Consider the following 26,416-nt stretch of genomic DNA (forward strand, 5'->3'; position numbering starts at 1 on the left):
ACAAAACACAATCCCTCCCACCATAGGCCAGGGCCCAGCGCTGGTAAAAGTCCTGTCTCAAATAGGAGATGGGCAGCCCTTCCATGAAATGAGCAATGGTGGGCTCAGAGGGGGCTCCCCAGGAGCACAGGACAGCAGGTGCCTCTGAAAGTTGCCTGGCTTCTCTGTGCCTCAGTAGCCCTGTCTGGTCCATGGGAGCAGGAAGAGGACCTGCCTTCCAGGGAAGCTGTGGGATGCCCTGGGATTGGGAGTGAAGCCCCCAGAAAGCATTTGGCACAGCGTGAGCACTGTCTGAGCAATGGTTCCCATCATCACTATTGTGTGGGCAACTTCCATGGACCAGGGGCCAGGCTGGGTGCTTTCACTCACACCATGCTCGGAGCAGTGTGTGCAGCATGGTGGGCAGGTGGGCCCGGCATTGGCAAGTGAGGAGCACAGCAGATGTGGTCAGGTGAGGGGTTGGTGGTGTTCAGTGGTGAGGATAGTGTACGCTGTCAGATTGGGATCCAGATGAAGTGTGTACACTGTCCGGACACAGAGTGAACAGTAGGGAGTGCATAGAGAGGCTGGTGAGGTCAAGACACTGGGCTGAATGCAAGAGGGAAGCGTAGCTCATGGATAATTGAAGATTGGAGGACACTGGTGGAAATGAAGGAGGACAAAAGGGGATGAGGGTGGACTAACCACCTGCAAGTGGCAGAAGGTCTGACCAGAGAAGGTGAAGGCCAGGAGTTGAGTGCCTGGAGTGAGCAGAAGTGCACAGGGAGACCAGGTGAGGGCTGCATGGTTGGGGCTGCAGAGGAGGAAAGGTCTCCCCAGGTGAGCGTGGATTCATTGGCCAAGACAGACGAAGGAGATAGTGAGTTCAGGGATGCAGAATTCAATGGGGATTAGAACAAAGAAGTGTCTAGGCCAAGGGCAGGGAGAGGCCAGTCCCTCAGGAGTCCATCCTGTGTAAGAGAACAAGGGAAGAGGGCAATAGGGCTAGTTGAGCACCGAGGGGTGGAGAGTAGAGCCAGAGGTGTTGGCGGATGATGTGGAAACCTGTGAGGGCAGGGCCAGAAGGGGAGACTGTCTGCAGCTGTGGGCAGAAGAGTCGGTCAGGGTGGAGGAGAGACTTGGCCTCCTATTTCTTTGGGGCACTGAAGAAGTAGGACACAGGCTGGGAAGGGGCCTTGTTCCCACAGCATGTCTTGCAAGACCAGACCGGCAGGACACAGCAGGCTCTTGGAGTTCCCATGGACTGGGAACTCTGTGCTGCTAGAATGGTCCTTTCTCACCTCTGGGATGAGTCCTACCCTGTCGGGGGAGGAGCATTTGGGGTGACAGCTAGGGATGCACCTTGTGTCTGTTCAGCTCTTGGCAATTTTTCCTGTATAGGAAGTAATATAACATGGGAAGGTTTAAAAGTCGCTGGGCTCTCCTTCAACACTAGGAGAGGGAAGGAAGGCAGTGTTGATTACTGAGCATCTAGTATGTGCCAGGACTTTTCTCCTTTAACCAGCAAAAGCCTCCTGTGGAGGTAAGTGGCATTATCCCTCCGACTTCACAGGTGTGAAAACCGAGGCCTATAAAGATTACACAGCTTGCCTGAGTTCTCACAGTTGGAAAGCGGTAAGGCCAAGCTTCAACAACAGGACTCAGATCCTATTCTGTGCTTCAAGAGGCGCACCTAGAGGTGGTGGCACTAGGCTGTCCTGTGTGTCTTCTGTGGCATCGTCCTTCCCCTTCACTCCTGCTGGCCTAAGCCCTCCCATGCTCCCTTCACCTTGCAGATGGCACTTTGGCAGTTCCATCTCTTTCCTTTTGCCCCCGCTTCCCTCCCAGCACCCTCCCCATTGTCCTCTGAGGCCCCAGCTTTCTCTCTCCCTCTCTCCCTCTTCCCTCAGAAAGTGGTTGAAGGCCCTGATGGCTGACAGGGCCTCTGATCCCCACAGTCCCGCCCTGCCCACACCTCCCTCCTGACTTCCTACTCTCCGCTTCATTCCTCCCTGCCCAGGCCTGTCCCTAAATGACTCCTTTGTTCCCTTCTCCCACACCTGTCTGTTTGCCTCTTGCTCTCTGATGCCAGGAACGGGCCCTGCATGGGCCACCTAACCTTGAAATCCTTCAGCCTTGGGTGAGCAGAGGTTTTCCCGAGAGCAGATGGGTGGTGCAGCAGCTAGCAGTGCCTCAACCTGGACGTGGTCTTCAGGTGGAGACACACCTGAGCACCCACCCGGATAGGTGTACCTGCACTGGCTCCAGGGAGGAGAGGACTGGCCATGATCTTCCCCTGGCCTGAATTCACTACATGGGCCATCGGCTGTGACATTTGCCAAATGAGCCAGTTAATTGCCAAATTTGTACTCTCAGACAAATGGTAATTATCTGGATAAGAATCTGAAATGCTGGATAGATTTCCCCATTTCCACTCGGACGTAAAACAGCCCAGGATCAGTTAGTCTGTTTGACTGAGATTTACTGTTCCTTTTGCCTCCTCACAGCCTCAGGTCAGGGGAGGGGTGAGATGGGGCAAGGAAGGTATCACCCTGGCCATCTCCAGCCAAGAGTGGGGAAGAAGACAGAATGCCAGGCCCACAGAGAGTTAGCACCCCCCTCAGTCTCCTCCTTCACCTTGCAGATGGGGACGCAGGCACAGTGGGAACCTCCCCTTCCTGGGCCTTGGTTTCCTTGTGGTGAAATTGGACTAGATCTCTGATTCCCAACCCAGCTACACATTAGAATTCTCTAGGGAGACCTTTAAAATACCTCCTGGGCTAAGGCCTGGGAATCTGTGTTTCAACAATTCACCAGCTGATTCTGGTCTGGGGATTGCTGTTTGGGAGCCACTGGACTCGGTGATCTCAAGAAGACCCTTCCAATCCTACAGGAACAAAAAGGCTTAAAATAGCGGAGAGGAATCCCAGCTCTGCCACTCTTGAGTGCTGTAACTTGTGTAAGTCTCTTGACGACTTTGACCTTGTTTCTTCATCTACAAGTAGGACATGCTGGGCCCGGCACTGGCACTCAGGTGTGTGCCACAGACACTGGGTTGCCTCCTGCCTGCCTGTCACTTTGCTCCCCTGCTTCCTGTCTCCAAGCTTCTTTTATTTTGTTATTTCCCCCTTAGCACCCAGAGAGGCCCCCCTACCTCCTTTCTCACCCACCCTGTCCCAGGGCAAGCATTCTCCCCCAAAGTCACCAAGGTCTCCAGGGAAAGTGGGCCCAGCCCCTCCAGGGCACCCTGGCCTTTAGCCTGGCTCCCCTTCCCGAATCCCAAAGAGCTTTCCTGGGCAGACCAGCGCTGCTCAGAAAAGCAAGGACCAGCGGCTGCCCATGCCCAGCAGCCAGTGGCTCAGCTTTTGTGTTAGAATTGGGAATGAGACGAGAAACAAAGCCACAGATGTGGTGAGAGAACTGAACTGAACCAAATGGTGGGGTTGAGAGAGTGGAGGAGGTGTGAGGCTAAGCCTCTCCAAAGCAATGCTCCTAGCTGAGTGACCTCCACACACGCCTCGTCATGCTGCCACCCCAGAGCAGGCCAGATCCATGACAGTGCAGGGCCCCCCAAGAGCAGCCAGCCGTCCACCCAGGAGGTCTTAACATCCTGGCCTGCTGAAGCTTGAGATAGGCAGAAGGAAGGGCCATAAGACACAGAAAGGGATGTATGTGTACATTTCAATCTCACCCACCTAACCTAGCCTGGGAAGTGTTCAGTGGCAGAGGGGAAGACAGGAGGACATGTATGAGGCCTATTGTGACATTTGGGGTGGCACTGGAAACATGCTGACCCAGGGACCACCAGAGGAAGGTGCTGTCATGTTGCCGCACCAAGCGATCTTTTTCTAACAGAGACTCTGCTCAGAGTCTGTAGGTAGAGCTGAGGCCCAGAAGACAGGCACCCACAGCCCTGGGTGTCATCGTAGCCTCACACCACCAACCGAGGCAGGTCTGAGGCTGTATCACCTGGGCCTTCACCACTGGCCTGCGGAACGGGTTCTGAACAAAGCCACTTGCAAACAGCTATGCGTGGGCTGATGTTTGGGTCTGCAGGAGATGCCTCAAAAGGATGCCAGGACTGGCATGCTCATTCACTTTGGCCCATCTACCCACTAACCCTGCTCTGTGCCAATGTCCCCCACCTGTGACATTCCAGCAGAGCCAGGCCGAGACAGCCCGTGTGCCCAGCTCAGTCTCCTGGCTTCCTGGCTCCACTTCTCCCCGCCTAGCCCTATGCTGCAGGTGCACATGTGTGTGCACACACACGGAGGCTACCTGAAGCTCCCACCATCACAGTCACTTTAGAGGACCAGGCATTTTCTCCTAAAACACACATATCCCAATCCCATCCCCTTGGGGCCCTTTCCCTGAGGCACTCTCAAACACTGGAAGAGGGCTTAGGGGGCTTCCTCCTCAAACAAGGACCTTGGACAGGCCCCTTCCTTCCTCTGTGCCTGTGTCCCTATCTGCAAGGTGAGGGAGGACACTGAGGGGGTGGCTAATACTCTGTTGGCCCGGCATTCTGTCTACTACGGTTTGACGTTAACTTCTAGCCGCTCTGTGTAACTAGACGGGCGCTCCCCAGTCCTGTTTGTGTGTATGAGCCCTGCCTCCTGACCCACATCATGAGCCCTCCCTCAAGGAAGAACTGTGAGTCCCTCAGCGGCCCCCATGCCAGAACCCGAACTCTGAACTCTGAGCTCCTGGCACATCCACATAGGGCTGCCCAAGACCCTCCTGCCCACCAGAACCACATCTTCCAGGGGTGCCCAGGCTTAAGCAGAGATATCCTTGGTTGAGACCAAATTTGAGGCCAAACCCACATAGAAGATAATCAATAAGAATGTCCTTTGCTTGTAGTCGAGGTGGGAACCTGAATGCTCCGCCTTCTTGACACTTCTTTACCCCCTCCTCATCCTGAGGCCTCGAAGACATGTCTAAGAATTCCAGGGCTCTGTGGGGTAATTTGAAAACCAACAATCTAGCCTCACCCCTTGGGAGAATGAGACTGAGCGTGGAAAGGACTTATTCACAGCCTTACAGTTAGTTAGAGGCAAAAACTGGGACTGGAACTCGGTCACATTTCCTAAAACCTTGTCTGAGGCTCTGCAATTTCTCAGCTGCTGTGATGAGGATGATTGCCTCTTGTTCTGTCTAACCTCCCAAGTAAACTCCCTAGAATGAGTTTCATGGCCCCGTCCCATCTATATCTCTCAGTATGAAACCTGAGGCCACGCTGGGGTCAGAAGATGGGGGAAGCTGGAAACATCTTCTTCCTGGGCCAAACGAGGCTTCTGGAAGGAATCTGTGAGTCTGTTCCCCTCTCTACCTCAGCCCTTTCTGTCCAGGGGTGTGGGTGAGAGATGAAGGGAAAGAGTAATCAACCAGCTCCTCCTGGTCAGGAAGGCTGGGCAGGAAGGAATCCTCTGCTGTCCAGATCTGAGGTGTGCAGAAGCTCTTCAGGAAAGTGGAGTTCACTGCTTTGGAGGCCAGGAAGGTTTGCCCCAGGAAGGCCACCCACAGCAGGAAGCTGTGTACCTTAGGGAAGAGTGAGCCCCACATCTGTGGGGCAAAGGGCAGTGGCCACAGCTGGGCCCTTTGCCCAAATCACCTTCCCCAGGTATGCTACATCCACAAGCCTGCACTTGCCTCTGCTCCTCCCCATAGAAGTACAGGCACAGTCACATAGAACTCATGCAAACACACTTACGTATCACATATATGAATACATGCAAACATCCACAAAGGCACAAAAACACCCACGTGCACATAAAATAAACACATATACAGATGCTCCTCAACTTGTGATGGGGTTATTTACCAATAAACCCATTGTAAGTTGAAAATGTGATAGGTCAAAAATGCTTTTAATACACCTAGCCTACCAAGCATCATAGCTTAACCTAGCTTACCTTAAACTTGTTCAGAGCACTTACATTAGCCGACAGTTTGGCAAAATCTTCTACTACAAAGCCTATTTTGTAATAAAGTGTTGGATTTTATGGAATACTGTACTGAAAGCATAGCACTTTCACATCATTGTAAATCAAACCATCCTAAGTCAGGGACTAGCTGTACACGTACACGCCATCCACACACAAACTCCAAACTTCCCCAACGGTGTCCGCCTGCAGGAATATGTGTGTCCACACACAACCACACACGCAAAACACAGGGCCCAGCTGGGAGAAGGATAAAGGAGGCTGTGGAGGAAGTCAAGAGACCAGCTGGGGATCAGCTAGAACAAGAAGCCACTGTACGACAATAAAAACTACAAAGACAGCAAGAAGGACCTTTCAGTGGGCCCCAAAATTCTCTCCTTCTAGTATCTTTCCTCACCCACAACCCATTCCCCAGGGGCCAGTCCGACTCAGGTTGGAGGAATTATCTCTTCTTCAAAGCAAAAAAAAAAAAAAATAAAAGAAGAAGAAGAGGAGGAAGAAGAGGAAGAGGGAGAAGGAGAAGAAGAAGAAAGAAACACCTCAGCCAGGCACAGAGCCCAGAAGTGAGGTCTATGCAGTTGGGTCATACTCTCTAACCTGACTCGAATTTATCCTATGACTTTGGTCAGGCCCTCAACCTTTTCTGAGTCTCCATCCGCTCATCTAGAAAATGTCCCTGTCTCCTGAGACCTTAGGGGATTGGGGAGCAACCTCTGATCCCCAGCTGGGATTAGGGGGGACAGGGGGCATGAGGGGAAATAAATGTTTTCTAAAAGAGCCAAGGACAGTAGAAACTTAAGCCCCAAACCCGAGGAAGCCCGAGTGGAGAAGATGAAGTTCGGAGGGGTGGGGTGAGAGAGGAGAGGCCTGGAGGGGCAGGAGGGGCCCCAGCACTTACCTCCTTCTCGGCCTTGGCCTCCTCCACTGTCACGGTGCTATGATTCTTGTGCTCCTGGAACATGCAAAGGTAGCAGATGCAGGTCTGGTCGGTCTGGCAGAAGAGCTCCATCGTCTTGCCATGCACGGGACACTTGCGGGCCTCAAAGTCCCGGATGGGCTCGAGCAGCTGGTGGTCTCGGAAGGCGGCGCCCTCCAGGTGGGGCTTGAGATGCAGCTCGCAGAAGGAGGCCTGGCACACCAGGCAGGACTTGACCGCCTTCTGCTTGTTGCCGATGCAGGAGTCGCACAGCACCTCCTCGGAGCCGGACTTGGACCGTGAAAAAAGGCCCGTGTCGGCCCGGGGGTAGCTGTTCCGCCGGGTCTCCCCGGGCTCCATGATGGACACCGTGGGCTTCCGGGACTCCGAGAAAATGGACTTGCGCAGCTCGCCCTTTTCGGCAAAGGTAACGGGTGGCTTCTTGGCAGCCCCCAGCTGGAGCCCTGCGTACGGCGACCTCTTGCCTTCCATAGAGTCCATGCTGAAGTAGTTGGAGTTCTTGTCGTCCCCGGACTCGACAAACTGGATGATGGGTCGCCGCCACTCATTGCCCGCGAACAGGGCGCTCCTACCTTCCCCTGGCTTCAGGGCGCTGCCCAGGCTCTTGCCCTCAGCTGCCTCCCCGCCGTGCCCGTTGGTGGTCTTGGCATCCTTGCCGTCAGCCTTGGTGCCATTCTCCAGGCTGCCACTGGGGCCCGACGGGCTCCGGGCATCCCTGGCTTCTGGGCTCGACCCGTTGCTCCTGGAGGCATCTGCAGCTTCCATCGCAGGGTGCTTGGCTGAGCTGTTTCAGGCTTGCTGGGGTTCAGGATAGGTGACCTTTCTGGCAGGCGTCTCGGCAGGGAGTGGGGCAGGCAACCACGAGGACTAGAGACACACCTGTGAGGAGGAGGAGGGGGAGGAGGCGGAGGAGGAGGAGGGGGAGGAGTGGAGGGGAGGAGCAACAGGCACAAGCCTGACACAGCGGCCCGGGAGAAGCAGGGAGCCCCGCAGCCAGCAGAGCAGATAATTGCACAGGAACCACGCCCTGCACATTCATCCCTAACCTGATTTTTAAAAGAAGTGTTTTTTCTCCCCCAGCTTATTTTCCACAACTCAGCAACCAGTTGGGCTGCTTCCCTCTGACGCACTTGCTTCTCATCCGGGGAGCGGGGAGTCTCCGTCTTCACAAGTGGGCAGGCTTCACTGAGCCCAGAGGCCCCTGGGGCAGAAGGTGAGGTGTCTGCAGAGGCCTACCAGACACAGGGCTGTTAACTGGGTCACACAAGCCAAATAGCCTTGTAATTTGCAGGCCTGAGTTTCAGAGGAAAGATTGTCCACCCTGGGACTGTATCGCTGCTTTTCACCTTAAGGGGGAAGGATGGGTTCCATTTGATTTGGCTACTGAGTATTGAACCCTACTTGCCAACCTCCAGGCACTTTCCTAGGTATTGCATATATTACGAGCTCATTCAGGCTTCCCTAAAACCTGTTCAATTACCCCTTTTTAACAGATGAGAAAACAGGCTTTAAGAAGATAACTCACTGGCCTAAGTCAAGTGGCCGAGCTGGGATTTGAACCCTAAGCCTTTGAGAAGCCAAAGTCCCTTCTTCAGCTGGGTGGTCATGGAGTCACCTGAATATCTCATCAGAAGATGGCTTCTGAGAGTCTGTCCTATCCCAATGGCCCCAACAAGATACATATAGACCTTAGATTATTGCTACCTGCGTGGATTCAAATGACCAAGGCACAACAATGAGGGGAATCCAAGCAATGCCAGCCCAGGTGGTTGGGTCCTCAGGGCCCAAACACTTGACTCTCACCTGTCTCCACACTTGGTCTGCTGTGTGACTCAGAAAACACCTGCCCATCCTCTCTGGGCCAGGCCACAGGCAATGCCCTCCAAAAAGAGGTCAGCAAAGTGTGAGATTCAGATAATCTCAGAAGTCACCTGTTCAAATATGACTATCATATAAATACAGACCTCAGGAAGAAAAGTGAGAAAAACAAACTTCATCCCCTTCCTCTCCGTGGCCCCTGCGGAACACCAGGACCCTTAGCTCTTGTAGGACATGCCCCCCAGCCACTTCTGGGCTCTGACCCATTGACCTGGTCCTAGGAAGCCTCCAAACCCCTAAGGAAAGGGCCGTGCCTCTCCAAGGCCAGGCTGGGCAGGGCAGAGCAGACAGTAGGTGAGGCTGGCGTGGCAGGTTCTGGGCTGTGTGGAGGGGAATGGGTTTCCCTTCCTTCCCCTCCAATCCATGTCAAGCTAGGAAGCCCCCGCCCCTTTGCCTCACCAGGCTGAGCAGCTAATCCTTTGCAAAAACAGCCCCTGGGAACAAGGGCAGAGACAAGCCCACCTCACAAAGCAGTTCACTTATGAGAGGATGTATGTGAGGTGGTGTTGGCGTGGGGAGTGCTGGCTTCATGACGGGGATTCTCCTCTTGCCTGAGGTCTCTGTCTGTGGGCCCCAAAGGAGCCCCCTCTTGTTTGAACTCACTGGTGAATTGGCTAAGAGCTTGTTGGGCCTTCTGGGGAGGGGGACACTTACTCAAAATGCCAGGCCCAATTTCTCTGGGCTCTTGCCTGAGGTACGGAGGGAGAAGGAGAGAAGGAAGTCCTGTCCTGGCCTGCTGGATTGGGACATGCCCCTCCCCTTTCCCTAATAATATTTCCCTAACCTGGAGAGAACAGGCGGTGAGGAGAAAAGAACAGAGAGGACACAAAGAAACAGAAGAGGAAAGTCATTGGGTTCTGGCTACAGTCCAACATCAATGCTGGATGAGCCTGGGGCACCCTGGAGGGCCTCCGCTAGTTCTTACAGTTCATGCACCCATCTTCCAGAAATCTGGGGAAAGATTCTGAACCTTAGGAATAGGCTGACACAGAGTAAATGTTCAGAGAATATTTGTGGGTGGGTGGATGGACAGACGGATGGATGGATGGATGGATGGATGGATGGATGGATGGATGAATGCATGGAAGAAGTTAAAGCTAGATGAATGTGAATTGGGAAATAAATGAACAGATGGATAAGATGTGTAGATAATGGATAAGTGGGTGGTTGGATGATGAACAAATGGATGAATGGATGGATGGGTAGATGGATGGGTAAATGAAATAAGTAAAAACTAGATGAATATGAATAAGGAAATGGGTGGATGGATGGATGGACAGATAGTTGAAGAAATGGGTAAAAGAATTTTTAAAAGAATGGAAGAAGAGAGAAAGAAAGGGTGATACATGGGAAGGAGAGAGGAAAGAGAAGGGAAGAGTAAGGAAGGAAGGAGACAGATAGGCAGTAAGTAGGTGAGTGAGTGGATTGCAAGGTATGCTGATAAAAGTTTAGCAACGGACTCTTCCAGGCACAAAAGCACTGGTTTGTAGCATTTGAAAATTTCACCCTAGTCAGTCTCAAGCTACCAATGTGAAGAGCACTGGAAAGAGATGCACACAGTCAGCTCTCCCAAGCCAGTGAGCCTGCTCCAACGCATCGCTGGAGGACTAGTGCATGATCAAAGTGGAAGACATAAGAGGGAGGATAGAAAGATGGATGCTGGAGGATGTCAGGGGAACAGGTTCAAGTGATTCAAGGCAAAGGGAAGATGAGGCAAATTTCTCTCTTCCAAGAGGCTTTCCCTAACCCAAGCCCAGTGACCACTGCCCCCATTCAACCCCTGTAACATCTATCCCTGCCTGTCCTACTCGGGAAGCATTTAGCTCAGCCCACCTGGTGTTGTTAATTATTCATTCATTCACACATACTTGTTGAGCATCCTACCATGGGCCAGGGTTAGGCAAGGGACTGATCATACGGACAGGAAGGAGTCCCAGATCATGCCCTTGGGGAGTTCATAGTTTAGTGGGAGGAGAGATCAGTAAGCAAATCACTTGGATTTGGCATGAACAGTGAATGAGATAAATGTGTGTGAGGGGCTTGGGCTGCTCAGAGGAGGGAGGAACCAGCATGTGCTGAGAGAGGCTGGTCTCTCCAACCAGGATGAGCATGGCTCGCTTTCCATGCACATAAGTGGCCTCCCTGGCTACACAGAGACAGTGTTTGACTTGACTCAGCAGATATTTATTCAGCTGAATTCTCAGTGGGTGCTGGTTGACTGGTCTTTTGGTTCTCCTAGGCCAGGGTGCAGGGCCCCTCTTCCCTTGAGGGACTGCTCTACCCAAATGCCTAGCAGAAGGTAGAGTCTCCTGGAGATCCCAGAAGCCAAGAGCTGAAAAGAAGCAAACAATTGTCCCTTCAGGGCTGGTCCCCAAGCCCTCGTCCCACCACCCCAACATCCCTCCTGGAGCTGAACCAAAGAAGAGGATTCCCACCCCTGGAGGTCTGAGGTCTGGATGGGCACTGCACACCTCATAGGAAGGTGATCGCTCCCCAAGCTCCCCAGGCCCTCACTCAGGACCTGACTACAGGCAACCGCGTCTGCTGAGGTCCTGCCCCTCTCCAGCCTCAAACTCAGTTGCACAGGTTCCATAAAGGGCATTTCCTAATGGCCCTCAGAGCCTATGTGTCCTGTGCAACTTGGCAAAAAGCCCCCGAAGACCATCATCTGCACTGCTGTGGCAGAGAGGCCTCTTCACTTTTAAAGGCCTTGAAAGAAAGGGAGCCCGTGAAGTCCCCCACCCCAGTCACTCCTCCCACATCTCACCCTGTTCTCCCTCTGGTCTAGCTTAAAGTCTTCCTGCTGCAATGTTTCTCCCTATACCAGGTGGTGGTGAGATGTGACTGGCTGCCAGCCCCTGCCTCATCCCTTGCAAGCTTTAGAAGGTAAGAAGAGCTGGCAGGTGTGGCTTCCAGAGAAGGATTCCTATGGAGCAGAGGCAACTTCTACCTCTTCCTGCTTGGCCCTGTCAGACCAGGCATGCCTGAAAGCCCCCACAGAGTCCCTCCTCCCACACGCACCCGTGGGCCAACCCCAAGCCTCCTCCCAGGCTTCTCCCATGAGGCACCTCAAAGCTGTTCCCTTCCTGGCAGCCTCCCTTGATTCAGCAGGTGGAGCCACCTTCACTTACCTACTGTGTGGCCTGGGAACACCTGATTCTGTCACCAATCATCTTTAGATGAAAGAGGAAACCCCTTAAAAGGAGAAAACTTCTCAGGCTTCCTTGGAGTCCCAGGGTTGGGAGGGAGTGGTCAACCGGTCCATCCCCTTGCCCCTGGGCAAGGCTATATCAAGAAAGTCTTTGATGTATCTTTTAAAGAACTATATATTATTTAAAAGGCCGGCAAGAAAAAAGATTTCATAGCTTCCCTCAGCCATTCATTTCAAGCTTTAGGACTGCTTGCTGCAGGAAGTTCTTCTTTCGGTCTAACATAAATACTCTATAAATGAAAGTGTACTGTTCAATTGGAGTTAAGGAACTGAGCCTCTGGCCCTGCAAAAGGGAAGCTGTGAGGTAATTGTTTCTGTGAGGGGAAGAGTCTGATCCAGTCTTAATGCTTACATGGTTCTTTTGACTTCTTTTTTTTTTTTTTTTTTTGAGACAGGGTCTCACTCTATTGCCCTGGCTGGAATGCCTTGGTGTGATCTCTCACTGCAACCTCCGCCTCCCAGGTTCAAGCTATTCTCCCACCTCAGCCTCCCAGTGCCTGGGACTACAGGCCTGTGCCACCACGCCCAGCTAATTTTTGTATTTTTTGGTAGAGACGGGTTTCACTATGTTGGCCAGGCTGGTCTTGAACCCCTGACCTCAAGTGATCCACTGGCCTTGGCCTCCCAAAGTGCTGGGATCAAGGCATGAGCCACCGTGCCCCGTCTCTTTTGACTTCTTGGTGCCCTTGTCCTCTTTTCGTACCTCTAGCTGTAGACAGCAGCAAAAAGCCTATGGCGGTTCAAAACTTTATAGCAATAATAAAATTTCTAAAGTCTAATTTTCTCATGCCTGTTATCCTAATACAACAGAATTTGTCCTGAAATTGGAAGGATTTAGATTATATATTAGGAAGAACTCTATAGATGGAGCAGTACTGTTTCTGTGATCATAAATTCCTTTCTTGGAAGCCCTTCAAAAATAGGACTGATTTCTACCTGCCCGGAGGGTTTCAGGTACCCTACCTGGGAGGGGAGGGGAAGTAAAAGGAAAAGACATTTGTGGCACCTCTCCAGGGGGCTGGGCATGGTCCCAGCCCTAGTGTACAGAGAATAAGAAGATACTGTCCTCACCCTCAAGGGCTGTTAGTTCACTGGGTCCCTTAGGATTCAAGCAACAGTCCTCTTGCTCCTACCCTTGGCTCCTTCTAAGGTAGGAGACCACCCCTCATATTGTCTTATGCCCAATTTCTGCCTCCAAAGAAAGAAAAAGTAAAAACTAAAAGGCAGAAATGAAATCCACAAGCAGACAGCCCGGCGCCACACCGTGGGCCTGGTAGTTAAAGACATAACCTAATCGGTTAGATAACATAACCTAATTGGTTATGTTATCTATAGATTACAGACATTGTATAGAAAAGCACTGTGAAAATCCCTGTCCTGTTCTGTTCCATTCTAATTACCGGTGCATGCATCCCCCAGTCACGTACACCCTGCTTGCTCAATCGATCACGACCCTTTCACGCAGACCCCCTTAGAGTTGTAAGCCCTTAAAAGGGACCGGAATTGCTCACTCGGGGAGCGTGGTTGTTGGAGATGTGAGTCTTGCTGAAGCTCCCAGCCAAATAAAGCCCTTCCTTCTTTAACTCGGTGCCTGAGGGGTTTTGTCTGCGGCTTGTCCTGCTATACTTCCAAGGCTTTTATCCCCTGAGAAGACACTGGGTCCTAACTGTAGCTCTCAATTGAGCAGCATCAAGACAGGGCATCCCCAGGGGAAGGTGATCAGGTCTGAGTCTGGTAGTACAAATTGACCTAGGACTCTTGCATAATGGGGAGGTCCTCAAGTCCCCTGGCAGCTTCCCAACACTGGCTTAGGACTCTGTGGAAAATGCCCATTGGATCAGATGCCTTGGGGGCCCTGTGCCCCCCCACCCATCAACACCCATAAACAATGCTGTGATGGGTACTTGCCTGTGTCAAGTTGGCTAAGCTACAGCACCCAGTCATTTAATCAAACACTAATCTGGGTGTTGCTGTGAGAATAAAGTCACCTACAGTCCGTTGACTTTAAATAAAGGAGATTATCCTCAATAATGTGGGTGTACTGCATTTGATCAGTGGGAAGGCCCTAAGGGTTAAAAACCGAGGTTTCTCAGAGAAAAAGAAGTTCTGCCCCAAGATTGCAGTATCAACTCCTGCCTGCCCTCTGGATTTCCGACTTGTCATCCCCAACAATCTCATGAGCCAATTCCTGGAAACAAATCTCTTCATATAACTATAGGTCCTATTGGCTCTGTCTCTCTGCGGGATCCTGAGTCCTGCTACAGCCCAGCTCTGGATGCCCAGAACTTTGTCAGGGTTTCTCCGTGGGAGAAGAACTTCACCCGGGGCCTGAGGGACTGGCTGGCTGTGGGTGCAGCCAGACCTGGGGCGGAAGAGCCCCAGAACTTTCTTGATATGTGAATTTGGGCAAGTTACTTAATCTCCCTGAGCCAGTCTCCTTGCCTACGAAATGAGGCTGATCCTAGCACCCTGGCAGGACCGTTGGGGGATTAGGGAAGGTGAGAAATTGTGAAAATGCCGAGACTGTGCCTGGCTCCCAAGAACTATTCAGTACATTTTTGTTGAATATTTCACTTTGAGGGAAAATGAGCAGGATTTTCTCTGCTGGAGAAGGACTGGAGACAGCCTGGTGAAGAGGAATTGCCAGGGCTTTCTTCCTGCTCCAGAAGCTGGGGCGGGCAAGGCTTCTAACCGTCTGCTCCTGGCTCTCCTCCATGTCATCTCCCAGGTACCTTCCAGCCCTGAAATTCTATGATTATAGGGTTGCATCCTAAAATGCAGAGAAGGGCAGTAAAAATAATTAAAGACTTGGAAAACAGGACCTGAGAGGAAAGGGTTAAAGGCACTGGGATTACTTAGCCTGGAGAAGGGGTGTTTTAATAACACCCTTCTTTACCTAGAGAGGGTTATTTGGATGGAGGCACTGGTTGGTTTCTCTCCATCCCTTTAGAGGGCAAAGTCAGAGAGGATGGGGAACCGACTAACAGGCAGCTAGAGGGATTGAAGTTAGACAGTGGGGTGCCTGCCTTGCCCAAATAACATCAACTATTTCACAGGACTTGTGGGGAGGTTATTTGTGTTAGGAAATGAATTAGACGACCTCTGGGTTTTCTCTTTGCTATTTGAATTCTAGACACCAATTTCCCCAGAATTGTGAAAAATAAGAGCAAAGAAAAAAAAATCGAAGAGCAAATTGAACAGGCGTGGTGGGGATAGCCCAGCAGCACTCCCTGGCCCTGCCCCTGGGCACAGTGGAGTGTCAGCCCAGGAGGCCCAGAGCTTACATGGGGTCAATCAGAGAGAAGCTTGTGCCCTGGGCTTGTTCCTTGTTGCAGTGTTAACTGCAACTTGTCTTCCTCAGACCTCAGAAGACGTCTTTCTTCCTCACTCCTTCCACGCACATTGAGTATGAACCTGCCCCAATTCAGGAAGGCATTAGGGAAAAGAAGACGCGCCCCTTATCCTGAGGCTGCAGTAGCACTGACTCCCAAGAAACATCCAGACTCGACCAGTTCCCTCCCAGACCCTGAGCTTCTTCCCTTCTTCATCGTCATTGCCACCATCAGAATAACAAGGCTGGCTACTATTCTTTGTTGAGGGCATACTCTGTGCCAAGCACTTCATATAGAGTACCCCTAATTCCATGGTACATGGTATAGGTAAGGAAATAAAGGCCCAGAGAGGTAAAGCAACTTGCCCAAGGCCACACAGCAGAGCCGGGCTCAGCCCTGTACCATCTATTCGTGCTGTCTGGACTTCACTACTAACCCCTGAGAGAACATCAGCCTCATCTTACTGACGAATAAATTAAGACTGAGAAGTTAAGCAATTTGCCCTCAGTCACTCAACTATTAATCAATAAAGCCAGGTATCTCAGCTCCAAAACCTAAGCATTTCCCCTCCTAAATGAGGTTGGTGAGGCATACCCTGCTACTTGCAAGTTCTCATCCAATGGATGGAGGGGAAAAACCCCTGGGAGACCCCCCTGAGTGGGTGATGGGCAAAGGTCACTCCTCTGTCCATCAGAGAAACTGGACAAAATAATGACAAGAAATAACATTATTATCATTTTCATTAAGCACTAACCCTGTACCAGGCACTGTGCTAGACCCTTAACATGCTTAACAATCAGTCCTCCCATAAGGAGTACGAAGTGGGTACTTCCATTCTCCCGTTTTAAATATGAAGCAACCGAGACACACAGAGTTTCAGTAACCTGCCCAAGGTCACAAGGTGAATAACTAGCAGAACTGGGTTTGGAACTCCATGTACTCTGACTCCAGAACTCTCCCTCTAATCCCTTGAACTGTGCTGTGAATTTTTTCCTCCTGAGCCAAGTGTGCTAACGAAATTGAGTCTAACAGCTACTTCTGCGCTGTCTCTAAAAGTTTTTTCCATGCCCTTCATGTTCTTCCAGCCTCTACTCCTGAGGTGCCCCAGAGCCGTCTCATTCCACGTGGCAGCACCCGTGCCCACCCTGGCCTCCTGAGCTCAGAATGGGGGAGACTCCCGTCCCAGGAAGAGGCTCTGTGGTCAGAAGCTGCTTTGCTATCCCAGGCAAGGCCCGGCTCCCTGTGTATGGACTCACCTGGGGACACAGCTGAGCCCAGGACCCGAACCAGAGCTGCAGCCATAACCCAAACGTGACCCAGATGCAGACCCAGAGCAGAGCACTCGGGGGAGGCCCAGGGAGCAGGAGGAGGCAGCCTGACCCCGCAGAGATGGGAGGTGTGGATGGCCCGGAAGGAGATGACCCAGCTCTGCCTAGGTCACTGCCCTGCCTGAGACTCTAGGGAGAGAGGAATGGGAGGGAGGAAGGGGACAGAGTGAGGGGGCACTCAGGCACCATCTCAGTGCCATCCTGCTGGAGCCATGTGCTGCTCTAGGAAGGGCTGGGCGGGGGCCCACCTTGGAGTCCTCGTCATCCAGGCAGGGAGGCTGGGTGTGGCAGCTTCCAGCAGGGGAGCTGCTGGGCTCTCCACGCCTCACCTCTTGACTGGACCCTCCCCTCATACACAAAGCTGAACCAGACTGAACCATCTGCAGCTCCCAGAAAGCGAGTGCGCCCCTCGGGCTGCCCCACATGCTGTTCCGGTGCTTCTCCACCCTCTGTGCGTCTCAGCTTAGTCGGCATTTCTTCCAAGAATGGCTGCCTGACCTCCCCGCCCCAGTCCAGGCTGAGTGACCCCTCCGTGTGCCGCTACAGCTTCACACAGTTCCCCAGGGCCCACCTTGCCCACACTGCATTGAAAGCATCTGTTTACACCACTTCCACCAGCAGGCGGTAAGTCCAGGCCATCTCTGTGGCCACAGAGTCTAACACAGTGCCCAGCAAACAGTGGTGCCCAATAAGTATCTGTCAAGTTCACGGGTGGTTAAAACAGAACAAAGCCAGCGCAGACTGCAGGCAACCTGTGGGTACTGCCCCAAAGCCCAAGGTTTCCAGAGGACTGCCAGGCACTCAGCTGGTTCTTGGCAAGAACAGATCAGGATGCAAGGTTGTGGGATGCTGACTGCTGCGGCAGTGAGGCCAAGTCTGGTGGAAGGTGAAGGCTTGAGGAGGAAGGCTGCCCAGAGCAGGGCAGCTCCAGCAGGGAGGCCGGCCAGGGTGCAGGGCTGTGAACCTGGCTCAAATTTCCACTAATCTGACAGTTTTCAGGGAAGCCAGGTGGAGGAGACGTGTCGGGACAATAGCAGCCTGTCCATCCTGTTACGGATGTGCTGGCACTCAGATGACAGTGAGGCAAGAGCCCTGCCTGCCTCCACCCTGGGGAGACGTAGGGTGGCAGAGCTGGGGGGTGGGCAAGCACCAAGAAGAAAGAGCAGGAAGCAATGCCTTGGGGTGTCTGTCCTGAGCCCCTCCCTCATGAACTCCCCTGAAGCTGGGGACTGCTGTCCCTGAGCCCCAGGGCTAATCTAACCATCAATGGACCAAAGGCAATGGAGCGGGGAATAAGGAAGAAAACTAGGTGGGAGGGAAAGAGAAATGAAACAGGAGTGGCAGGAAGGTAAGAATGCAGCAGACAGCAAGAGCCAGAGTGAGTCAATGAGAGGGGGAAGCAGAGCACATGGAGAAGCTGTGTCAAAATACACTTCACGGCCGGCAGAACCCCGTCTCCAGCATTGTCTGTATGAACGCAAAACAGCCCTGTGAAGTATAATTATCGTTTTCTTCCCTTTTGTTTTATTTCACTTTTTATTATGGAAAACTTCAAAAATACACAGTGTAAACACAATAGTATAATTTCAATCCCTATGTATCCATCACCCCACTTCAACAATGAGCATATCGCGCCATTCTCCTTTCACTATATTTTCACCCACACAATTTTTATTGTTTTTTGACATTACTATTTTTTGGGAAAACTTGCACACATTAAAATGTGCAAATAGTAGCTCTACAATGTTGATAAAATGTTTATATCCAAGCAAACCACATCCCTATTATAATATGGTACACTGCCATCTCACTGGAAATTCTCTTATATTTCCTCCATCCCCAACTAATCCAATTTCTAGCTACAGATTACTTTTGGCTAATCTAGAACTTCACTTAAGTGGACTCGCACAATATTCACTCCTTAGTGCCTTGCTTCTTTCTCTTAGCATAATGTCTCTGGGACCCATCCATCTGGATGCATGAATGGTGGTTTATTTCTTTGAAGTTGCTGACTAGGATTCCACTGTATGGACACATCAGAATTTACCTAGTGATTTCCTGTTGATGAGCATTTGGGTTGTTTCCTGTGCATGACTATTGTGAATAAAGCCGCTATGAACATTTGTTTTTATGGACATGTTTTCATTTCCCCTGGATAAATACCTAAGAGTGGAATTGCCATATCAAGCAGTAGATGTAAGTTTAACCTTTTGAGAAACAGTCAAACCGTTTCCAAAGTGGTTGCACTATTTTGCATTCCCATCAGCAAGGTATATGCATTTCAGGTGCTCTGTGATCTCATTAACATGCAGTTGTTGTAAGAGTTTTAAATTGTAGCCATTCTAGTAGGTATGTAGTAGTATCACATTGTAGTTGTACTCTGTACTTTTTAATGACTAATGATGTTTAAGCAATGTTTCATGTGCTCATTGGCATTCATATATCTTCTTTTGTGAAGCATCTGTGTAAGTCTTTTTTTGCCTGTTTTTTTTTGTTAGCTGGGCGTAGCGACACATGCCTGTAGTCCCAGCTACTTGGGAGGCGGGAGGATGGCTTGAGCCAGGGAGGCAAAAGTTGCAGTGAGCCAGGATTGTGCCACTGCACTCCAGCCTGGGCAACAGAGCAAGACCCTCTCTCTCAAAAAGAAAAAAAAGTATTTTGCCCATTTTTAACATGATTGCTTATCTTTTTGTTATTGAATCATAGGAGTCCTTTGTGTATTCTAGTAACAAGTCCATCAGATATATCTTTTCTGAATATCTTCTTCAAATCTGTGGTTTGTCTGTTAATTTTCTTAATGGTGTCCTTTTAGATTTATTAAGACATAATTTAAGGCCGGGCATAGTGGCTCACGTCTGTAATCCCAGAAGTTTTTATTGGTCTATTCATGAATTGGACTTCTTCCTGGTTTAGTCTTGGGAGGGTGTATGTGTCCAGGAATGTATCCATTTCTTCTAGATTTTCTAGTTTATTTGCATAGAGGTGTTTATAATATTCTCTGATGGTAAGTTTGTATTTCTGTGGGATCAGTGGTTATATCCCCTTTATCATTTTTTATTGTGTCTATTTGATTCTTCTCTCTTATCTTCTTTATTAGTCTGGCTAGTGGTCTATCTGTTTTGTTAATCTTTTCAAAAAACAAGCTCCTGGATTCATTGATTTTTTTGAAGGGTTTTTCATGTCTCTGTCTCCTTCAGTTCTGCTCTGATCTTAGTTATTTCTTGCCTTCTGCTAGCTTTTGAATTTGTTTGCTCTTGCTTCTTTAGTTCTTTCAATTGCGATGTTAAAGTGTTGATTTTAGATCTTTCTTGCTTTCTTCTGTGGGCATTTAGTGCTATAAATTTCCCTCTAAACACTGCTTTAGCTGTGTCCCAGAGATTCTGGTACATTGTGTCTCTGTTCTCATTTGTTTCAAAGAACTTATTTATTTCTGCCTTAATTTCATTATTTACCCAGTAGTCATTCAGGGGCAGGTTGTTCAATTTCCATGTAGTTGTGTGGTTTTGAGTGAATTTCTCAATCCTGAGTTCTAATTTAATTGCACTGTGGTCTGAGAGACTGTTTGTTATGATTTCTGTTCTTTTGCATTTGCTGAGGAGTGTTTTACTTCCAATTATGTGGTCAATTTTAGAATAAGTGTGATGTGGTGCTGAGAAGAATGTATATTCTGTTGATTTGGGGTGAAGAGTTCTGTAGATATCTATTAGGTCCACTTGGTCCAGAGCTGAGTTCAAGTCCTGAATATCCTTGTTAATTTTCTGTCTCATTAATCTGTCTAATATTGACAGTGGGGTGTTAAAGTCTCCCACTATTATTGTGTGGGAGTCTAAGTCTCTTTGTGGGTCTCCAAGAACTTGCTTTATGAAGCTGGATGCTCCTGTATTGGGTGCATATATATTTAGGATAGTCAGCTCTTCTTGTTGCATTGATCCCTTTACCATTATGTAATGCCCTTCTTTGTCTCTTTTGACCTTTTTTGGCTGAAAGTCTGTTTTATCAAAGACTAGGATTGCAAACCCTGCTTTTTGTGCTTTCCATTTGCTTGGTAAATATTCCTCCATCCCCTTATTTTGAGCCTCTGTACGTCTTTGCATATGAGATGGGTCTCCTGAATACAGCACACCGTTGGGTCTTGACTCTTTATCCAATTTGCCAGTCTGTGTCTTTTAATTGGGCCATTTAGCCTGTTTACATTTAAGGTTAATATTGTTTTGTATGAATTTGATCCTGTCATTATGATGCTAGCTGGTTATTTTGCCCGTTAGTTGATGCAGTTTCTTCATACTGTCGATGGTTTTTACAATTTGGTATGTTTTTGCAGTGACTGGTACCAGTTTTTCCTTTCCATATTTAGTGCTTCCTTCAGGAGCTCTTGTAAGGCAGGCCTGGTGGTGACAAAATCTCTCAGCATTTGCTTGTCTGTAAAGGATTTATTTCTCCTTCACTTATGAAGCTTAGTTTGGCTGGATATGAAATCCTGGGTTGAAAATTCTTTTCTTTAAGAATGTTGAATATTGGGCTCCACTCTCTTCTGGCTTGTAGGGTTTCTGCAGAGAGATCTGCTGTTAGTCTGATGGGCTTCCCTTTGTGGGTAACCTGACCTTTCTCTCTGGCTGCCCTCAAACTGTTTTCCATAGTGGCTATGCTATTTTCCGTTCCCACCAACAAATTGTAAGACTTCCAGTTACTTCTCATCCTGCCAAGACATCATATAATCAGTCTTTTTAAATTTTAACCATTCTAGTGGTTGTACAGTGGTATCTCAGTGTGGTTTTAATGTGAGCTTATCTAGTGACTAATAATGTTAAGCTTCTTTTCATATGCTTATGTGCCACTTGCTTCCCTTTACTAGTGAAATGTCTCTCCATATCTTTTGCCCAGTTTTTAATCAGGTTGTTTGTCTTCTGATTGAGTAGGAAGAGCTTTTTAAAAGATATCTTGAATCCAAGTCCTTTGTTAGATACATGTTTTACAAATAGTTTCTACCCCATTATAGCTTGCCTTTTTATCTTCTTAACCATGTCTTTTAATAAGCAAGTTTTGGCCAGGCACGGTGGCTCACGCTGGTAATCCCAGTACTTTGGGAGGCCAAGGCAGGTGGATCACCTGAGGTCAGGAGTTTGAGACCAGCCTGGCCAACATGTTGAATCCCTGTCTCTACTGAAAAAAAAAAAAAAGTACAAAAATTAGCCGGGCATGGTGGTGGGGGCCTGTAATCCCAGCTACTCAGGAGTCTGAGGCAGGAGAATCACTTGAACCCAGGAGGCAGAGGTTGTAGTGAGCCGAGATCATGCCACTGCACTCCAGCCTGGGTGACAGAGCAAGACCCTGTCTCAAAAATTATATAAATAAATAAATAAATAGAACAAGTTTTTTTTAAGGAAGTCTGATATACTGATTTTTTTTTTCTTTAAGGTTTGTGCTTTCTATGTCCTATCTAAGAAATTTCTATGTTTGCTTCAGTGTGCGGTTGGTATAGATAGAGCTGTTATGCATAACAGGTTATAAAGATTTTAGGTTATAAAGATTTTAAATCTTAGATCCACTATTTCAAGTTAATTGTTGTTTATGATGTGAGATAAGGGCCATTTTTTTTCTTGTATATGGATACCCAATTGTTCCAGCACCATTTGTTGAAAAAACTATCATTTCCCCCGTTGAATTACCTTGGCACCTTTGTGAAAAATCAGTTATCTACATATATATAAATCTATTTCTGGACTCTCTATTCTGTTCAGTGATCTAAATGTTTACTTTATTCCATAATACACTATCTAATTACTACTACTTTGTTGTAAGTCTTAAAAATCAGGTAGTAAGTCCTCCAAGCTTGGTCTTCGTTTTTCATAATTTTTTGTACCTATTATGATCCATGGCATTTCCATATGAACTTTAGGATCAGATTACAAAATTCTTCAAAAATCTGCTCTGATTTTGACTGAGAGTACATTAAATCTGAAGATCAATTTGGGGAGAATTGACAGCTTAACAATAGCAAGTCTTAATAATATCAATACATACCATGAACATGGTATGTTTCTCTATTTATTTAGATCTTCTTTAACTTCTCCCAGCAGTTTTGTAGTTTTTAGTGTACTATACAAATTTTTGCTAATTTACTCTTAACTAGTTCATGTTTTCATGCCATCATAAATGTTATTTTCCATTTAAATTCCAATTGTTAGTTTCTAGTATATAGAAATACAATTAGGCCAGGCACAGTGGCTCACACTTGTAATACTAGCATATTAGGAGGCCAAGGTGGCAACTCCAGCTAGAGGCCAGGAATTTGAGAACAGCCTGGGTAACGTAGCAAGACCCTGTCTCTACAAAAAATTTAAAAATAAAAAAGTCAGTCAGGTGTGGTGGCACAGGCCTGTAGTCACAGCTACGTGGCAGGCTAAGGTGGGAGGATTGCTTAAGCCCAGGAGCTTAAGGCTTCAGTGAGTCATGATTGTGCCACTGCACTCCAGCCTGGGTGACAGACTGAGGCTCCCTCTCAAAAATAATAATAATAATAATTAATTTTTGTGTATTGAACCCATATCCTGCAACATTGCTAAACTCATTTATTAACTGTAGTGTCTTAGCTTGCTTGTGGATTTCCTAAGATTTTCTAGAGAGAAAATTATATTGTTTATAAATAAAAACAATTTTGAATCTTCTCATCTGTGCCTTTTTTCTTTTTCTTGAATTCTTGCACTGGCTAGGACCTCCAGTACACTGTCGAATAGAAATAGTTATAACAGACTTACTTGCTTTGTTCCTAATCTGAGAGGAAAAACATCCCATTTTTCACTACTAAGTATAATGTCAATTGTAGGGTATTTTTAAATAGATGCCCTTTTCCAGATTGTGTAAGTTCCCTTGTATCCCTAATTTGCTAAGATTTTATCATGAATCTTGATAAATTTGTCTTGTTGAATTTTGTCAAAAGCTTTCCCTGAATCTACTGACATGATCATGTTTTTTTCCTTTTTAGATCTGTTTATATGATACATTCATTTTCTATTGCTGCCGTAACAAGCTTAGTGGCTTAAAACAACACAAATTTATTATCTTATAGTTTTGGAGGTCAGAAGCCCAAAATGGGCTAAAATCAAGATGTTGGCAGGGCTGCATCTTTTCTGAAGGCTCTAGAAGATAACCCGTTTCTTTGCCTTTTCCAGCTTGTAGAGGCTGCACATGTTCCCTGGCTCATGACTTTTTCCATCTTCAAAGCCAGCATTTATATCACTCCAATCTCTGCTTCTGTCATGACACATCTTTTTGTCTGACTCTCCTGCCTCCCTCTTTTAGGTACAAGGATCTTTGTGATTACATTGGGCCCATCCTGATAATCCAGAATAATCTCCCATCTCAAAATCCTTAACAATCATATCTGCAAAATATCTTTTGCTACATAAAGTAGTATATTCACAAGTTCTGTGGATTAGGACATAGATATTATGACTACCACATATGATAAATTATAGATTGACTTTTTAAAAATTGTGGTTAAAAACACATAACACTTACCATTTATCATTTTTGAGTATACAGTTCAGTAGTGTTAACTACATTCACATTGTTGTATAACAGATCTCTAGAAGTTTTTCATCTTGCAAAACTAAAACTCTATACCCATCAAACAACAACTCCCCATTCCCCCTTCCCAACTCGACGAAACCACCATTCTACTTTCTGTTTTCATGACTTTGACTACTTTAAATATCTCATATAAGTGGAATCATACACTATTTGTCCTATTACGACTGCTTATTTTACTCAACAGAGTGTCTCCAAGGTTCATTCAAGTTGTATATAAATTGACTTGTGAAACTAAAAGTAGATCTACCATTCAATCCAGCAACCCTACTACTGGGTAACTACCCAGAGAAAAAGAAGTCATTATACAAAAAAGACACACACATACATGCAGGCATACTCACGCTGATAGCAGCACAATTTACAATTGCAAAGATATGGAATCAATCTAAGTGCCCATAGACCAATGAGTGGATAAAGAAAATGTGATGTGCATACACTGTGGAATGCTACTCAGCCATAAAAAGGAAAGAAATAATGTCTTTTGCAGCAATTTGGATGGAACTGGAAGCCATTATTCTAAGAGAAATGACTCAGGAATGGAAAACCAAATACTGTATATCCTTACTTGTAAGTGGGAGCTAAGCAATGAGGATGCAAAGACATACAGAGTGATATAATGAACTTTGGGGATTTGTGGGTGGGGAGGTTGGGAGCGAGGTGAGGGATAAAAGACTTCATACTGGGTACAGTTACACTGCTCAGGTGATGGGTGCACTAAAATCTCAGAATTCACCACTATAGAATTCATCCATGTAGGTAAAAACCACTTGTACCCCCAAAGCTATTTAAATAAAATAAATAAATAAAGATTTTAAAACTTAAAAAAACTGACTTTTGAATGTTAAGCCAACCTTGAATTCCTAGGATAAATCCCATTTGATCACACTTTGTTATTCTTTGTATATATTGCTGATTTTTTTTCTGCTAAAATTCTGTTTAGAAATGTTTCCTCCCCGTCTCTTTTCTGCAACAGTTTTTGTAGAATTGGTATTTTTTTAAAAATGTTTAGCATCCCAGAAATGGCTTGTACTGGCCCATGACAATGTACTTTCAAATTCTCAGAAATTTTGTAAGCCAGCTGTTAAATACAGCCAGTATTAAAAATTAAATAAATTATGTTAAAAGCAAAAGTAATCCATATGGAATGAATACTTATCATATCTTAAATATTTTGCTACATTTTATTAATATCAATGCTATTAGGATATTTATGACTTTCATTTATATGGTATTATCTTTATATATATTTGTGCATATATATGCACATCTCTTTTTATCTCCATGATGATTGACATCACATTGGTAGCATGAAATTGACCATAGCGGGAATATTTACACTATGGAAAGTGGCAAATGCTACAAAACAGGTTGTTGTTTTTTCTAGAGTGCCAGGTGTAAAACATTTACCAATACACCTGGGGGTAGAATGCACTCGTGAAACCACTTGATCCTGGAGTTTTCTTTATGAAAAAGGTTTCACTTTTTAAAAACTATGAATGTAATTCCTTTAACAGACATAAGATATTCAAATTATTTCTTATTGAATGACCTTCATAGTTTGTGTTTCAAAGATTATGTCCATTTTATCATCTAAGTCACTGAATTTATTGGCATGTAGTTGTTTATAATATCTCCTTAGGTTTTTTTCAATGTTTGTAGGATCTGTAGTGATATCCTTGCTTTCATTCCTGATATTGGTAATTTGTGTCTTTTCTCTTTTTTTCTTGATCAGTCAGGTTAGAGTTTTATCAATTGTATTGATCTTTTCTGTGGTGTAAGAACTAAAATTAAGGTTCAATATTATGTGCTACCTTGACACCTGATGAAAACAGGAGGGCCTCATCTAGCCTAGCCCCAAGTTCCTCATTCCACTCTGCTCCTAACCCCTAGCCAAATCCTCTTAATAAAGAGAACCAGGTGCAGTTAAACAAGGCAATCACAGCCTCCTGCAGGAACCATGGGCCACCCCATTCTCTTAGTGCTACAGCCTGGCCCCCACAGCCTCTGGTTGTTCTCTGCTCACAAGTACAACCCCCATGTGATTGTTCATTTCTGTTCCCAAGTGCAACACCCCTGCATGAGATGTGGTGTCCTCCTCCTGCTGGCTATGAGTATATGTAACTAACAAACTGTTGTCAGTTTCATCTGGTGTCAGGCATTGTGTCATCCCCATAACCCTAGGGTGGGAATTTCTCTGTCACCTACTTGGTTAATAG

General features: G+C 47.4%; 1 protein-coding gene and 1 long non-coding RNA gene across 4 annotated transcripts in view; one reads left to right on the forward strand and one right to left on the reverse strand.

Annotated features, from left to right (window-relative positions):
* The window catches only part of TRIM29 (tripartite motif containing 29), a 26,828-nt gene extending 19,120 nt beyond the window's left edge, over positions 1 to 7,708 (reverse strand). For all 3 annotated transcript variants that reach the window (NM_012101.4, XM_047426689.1, XM_047426688.1), the window contains exon 1: positions 6,823 to 7,708. In NM_012101.4, coding sequence (NP_036233.2) covers positions 6,823 to 7,626 — 804 coding nt within the window. In that variant the 5' untranslated portion in view covers positions 7,627 to 7,708. The remainder of the gene's footprint in view (positions 1 to 6,822) is intronic.
* Positions 1 to 10,069, forward strand: part of LOC105369529 (uncharacterized) — an 11,981-nt gene extending 1,912 nt beyond the window's left edge. Inside the window, exons 2-3 of the long non-coding RNA XR_948100.3 lie at positions 7,942 to 8,032; positions 8,355 to 10,069. This is a non-coding gene — a long non-coding RNA (uncharacterized LOC105369529). The remainder of the gene's footprint in view (positions 1 to 7,941; positions 8,033 to 8,354) is intronic.
* The last annotated feature ends 16,347 nt before the right edge of the window (positions 10,070 to 26,416 follow it).

This window comes from Homo sapiens, chromosome 11, assembly GCF_000001405.40.
Source record: "Homo sapiens chromosome 11, GRCh38.p14 Primary Assembly".
In the NCBI taxonomy this organism is placed as follows: domain Eukaryota; kingdom Metazoa; phylum Chordata; class Mammalia; order Primates; family Hominidae; genus Homo; species Homo sapiens.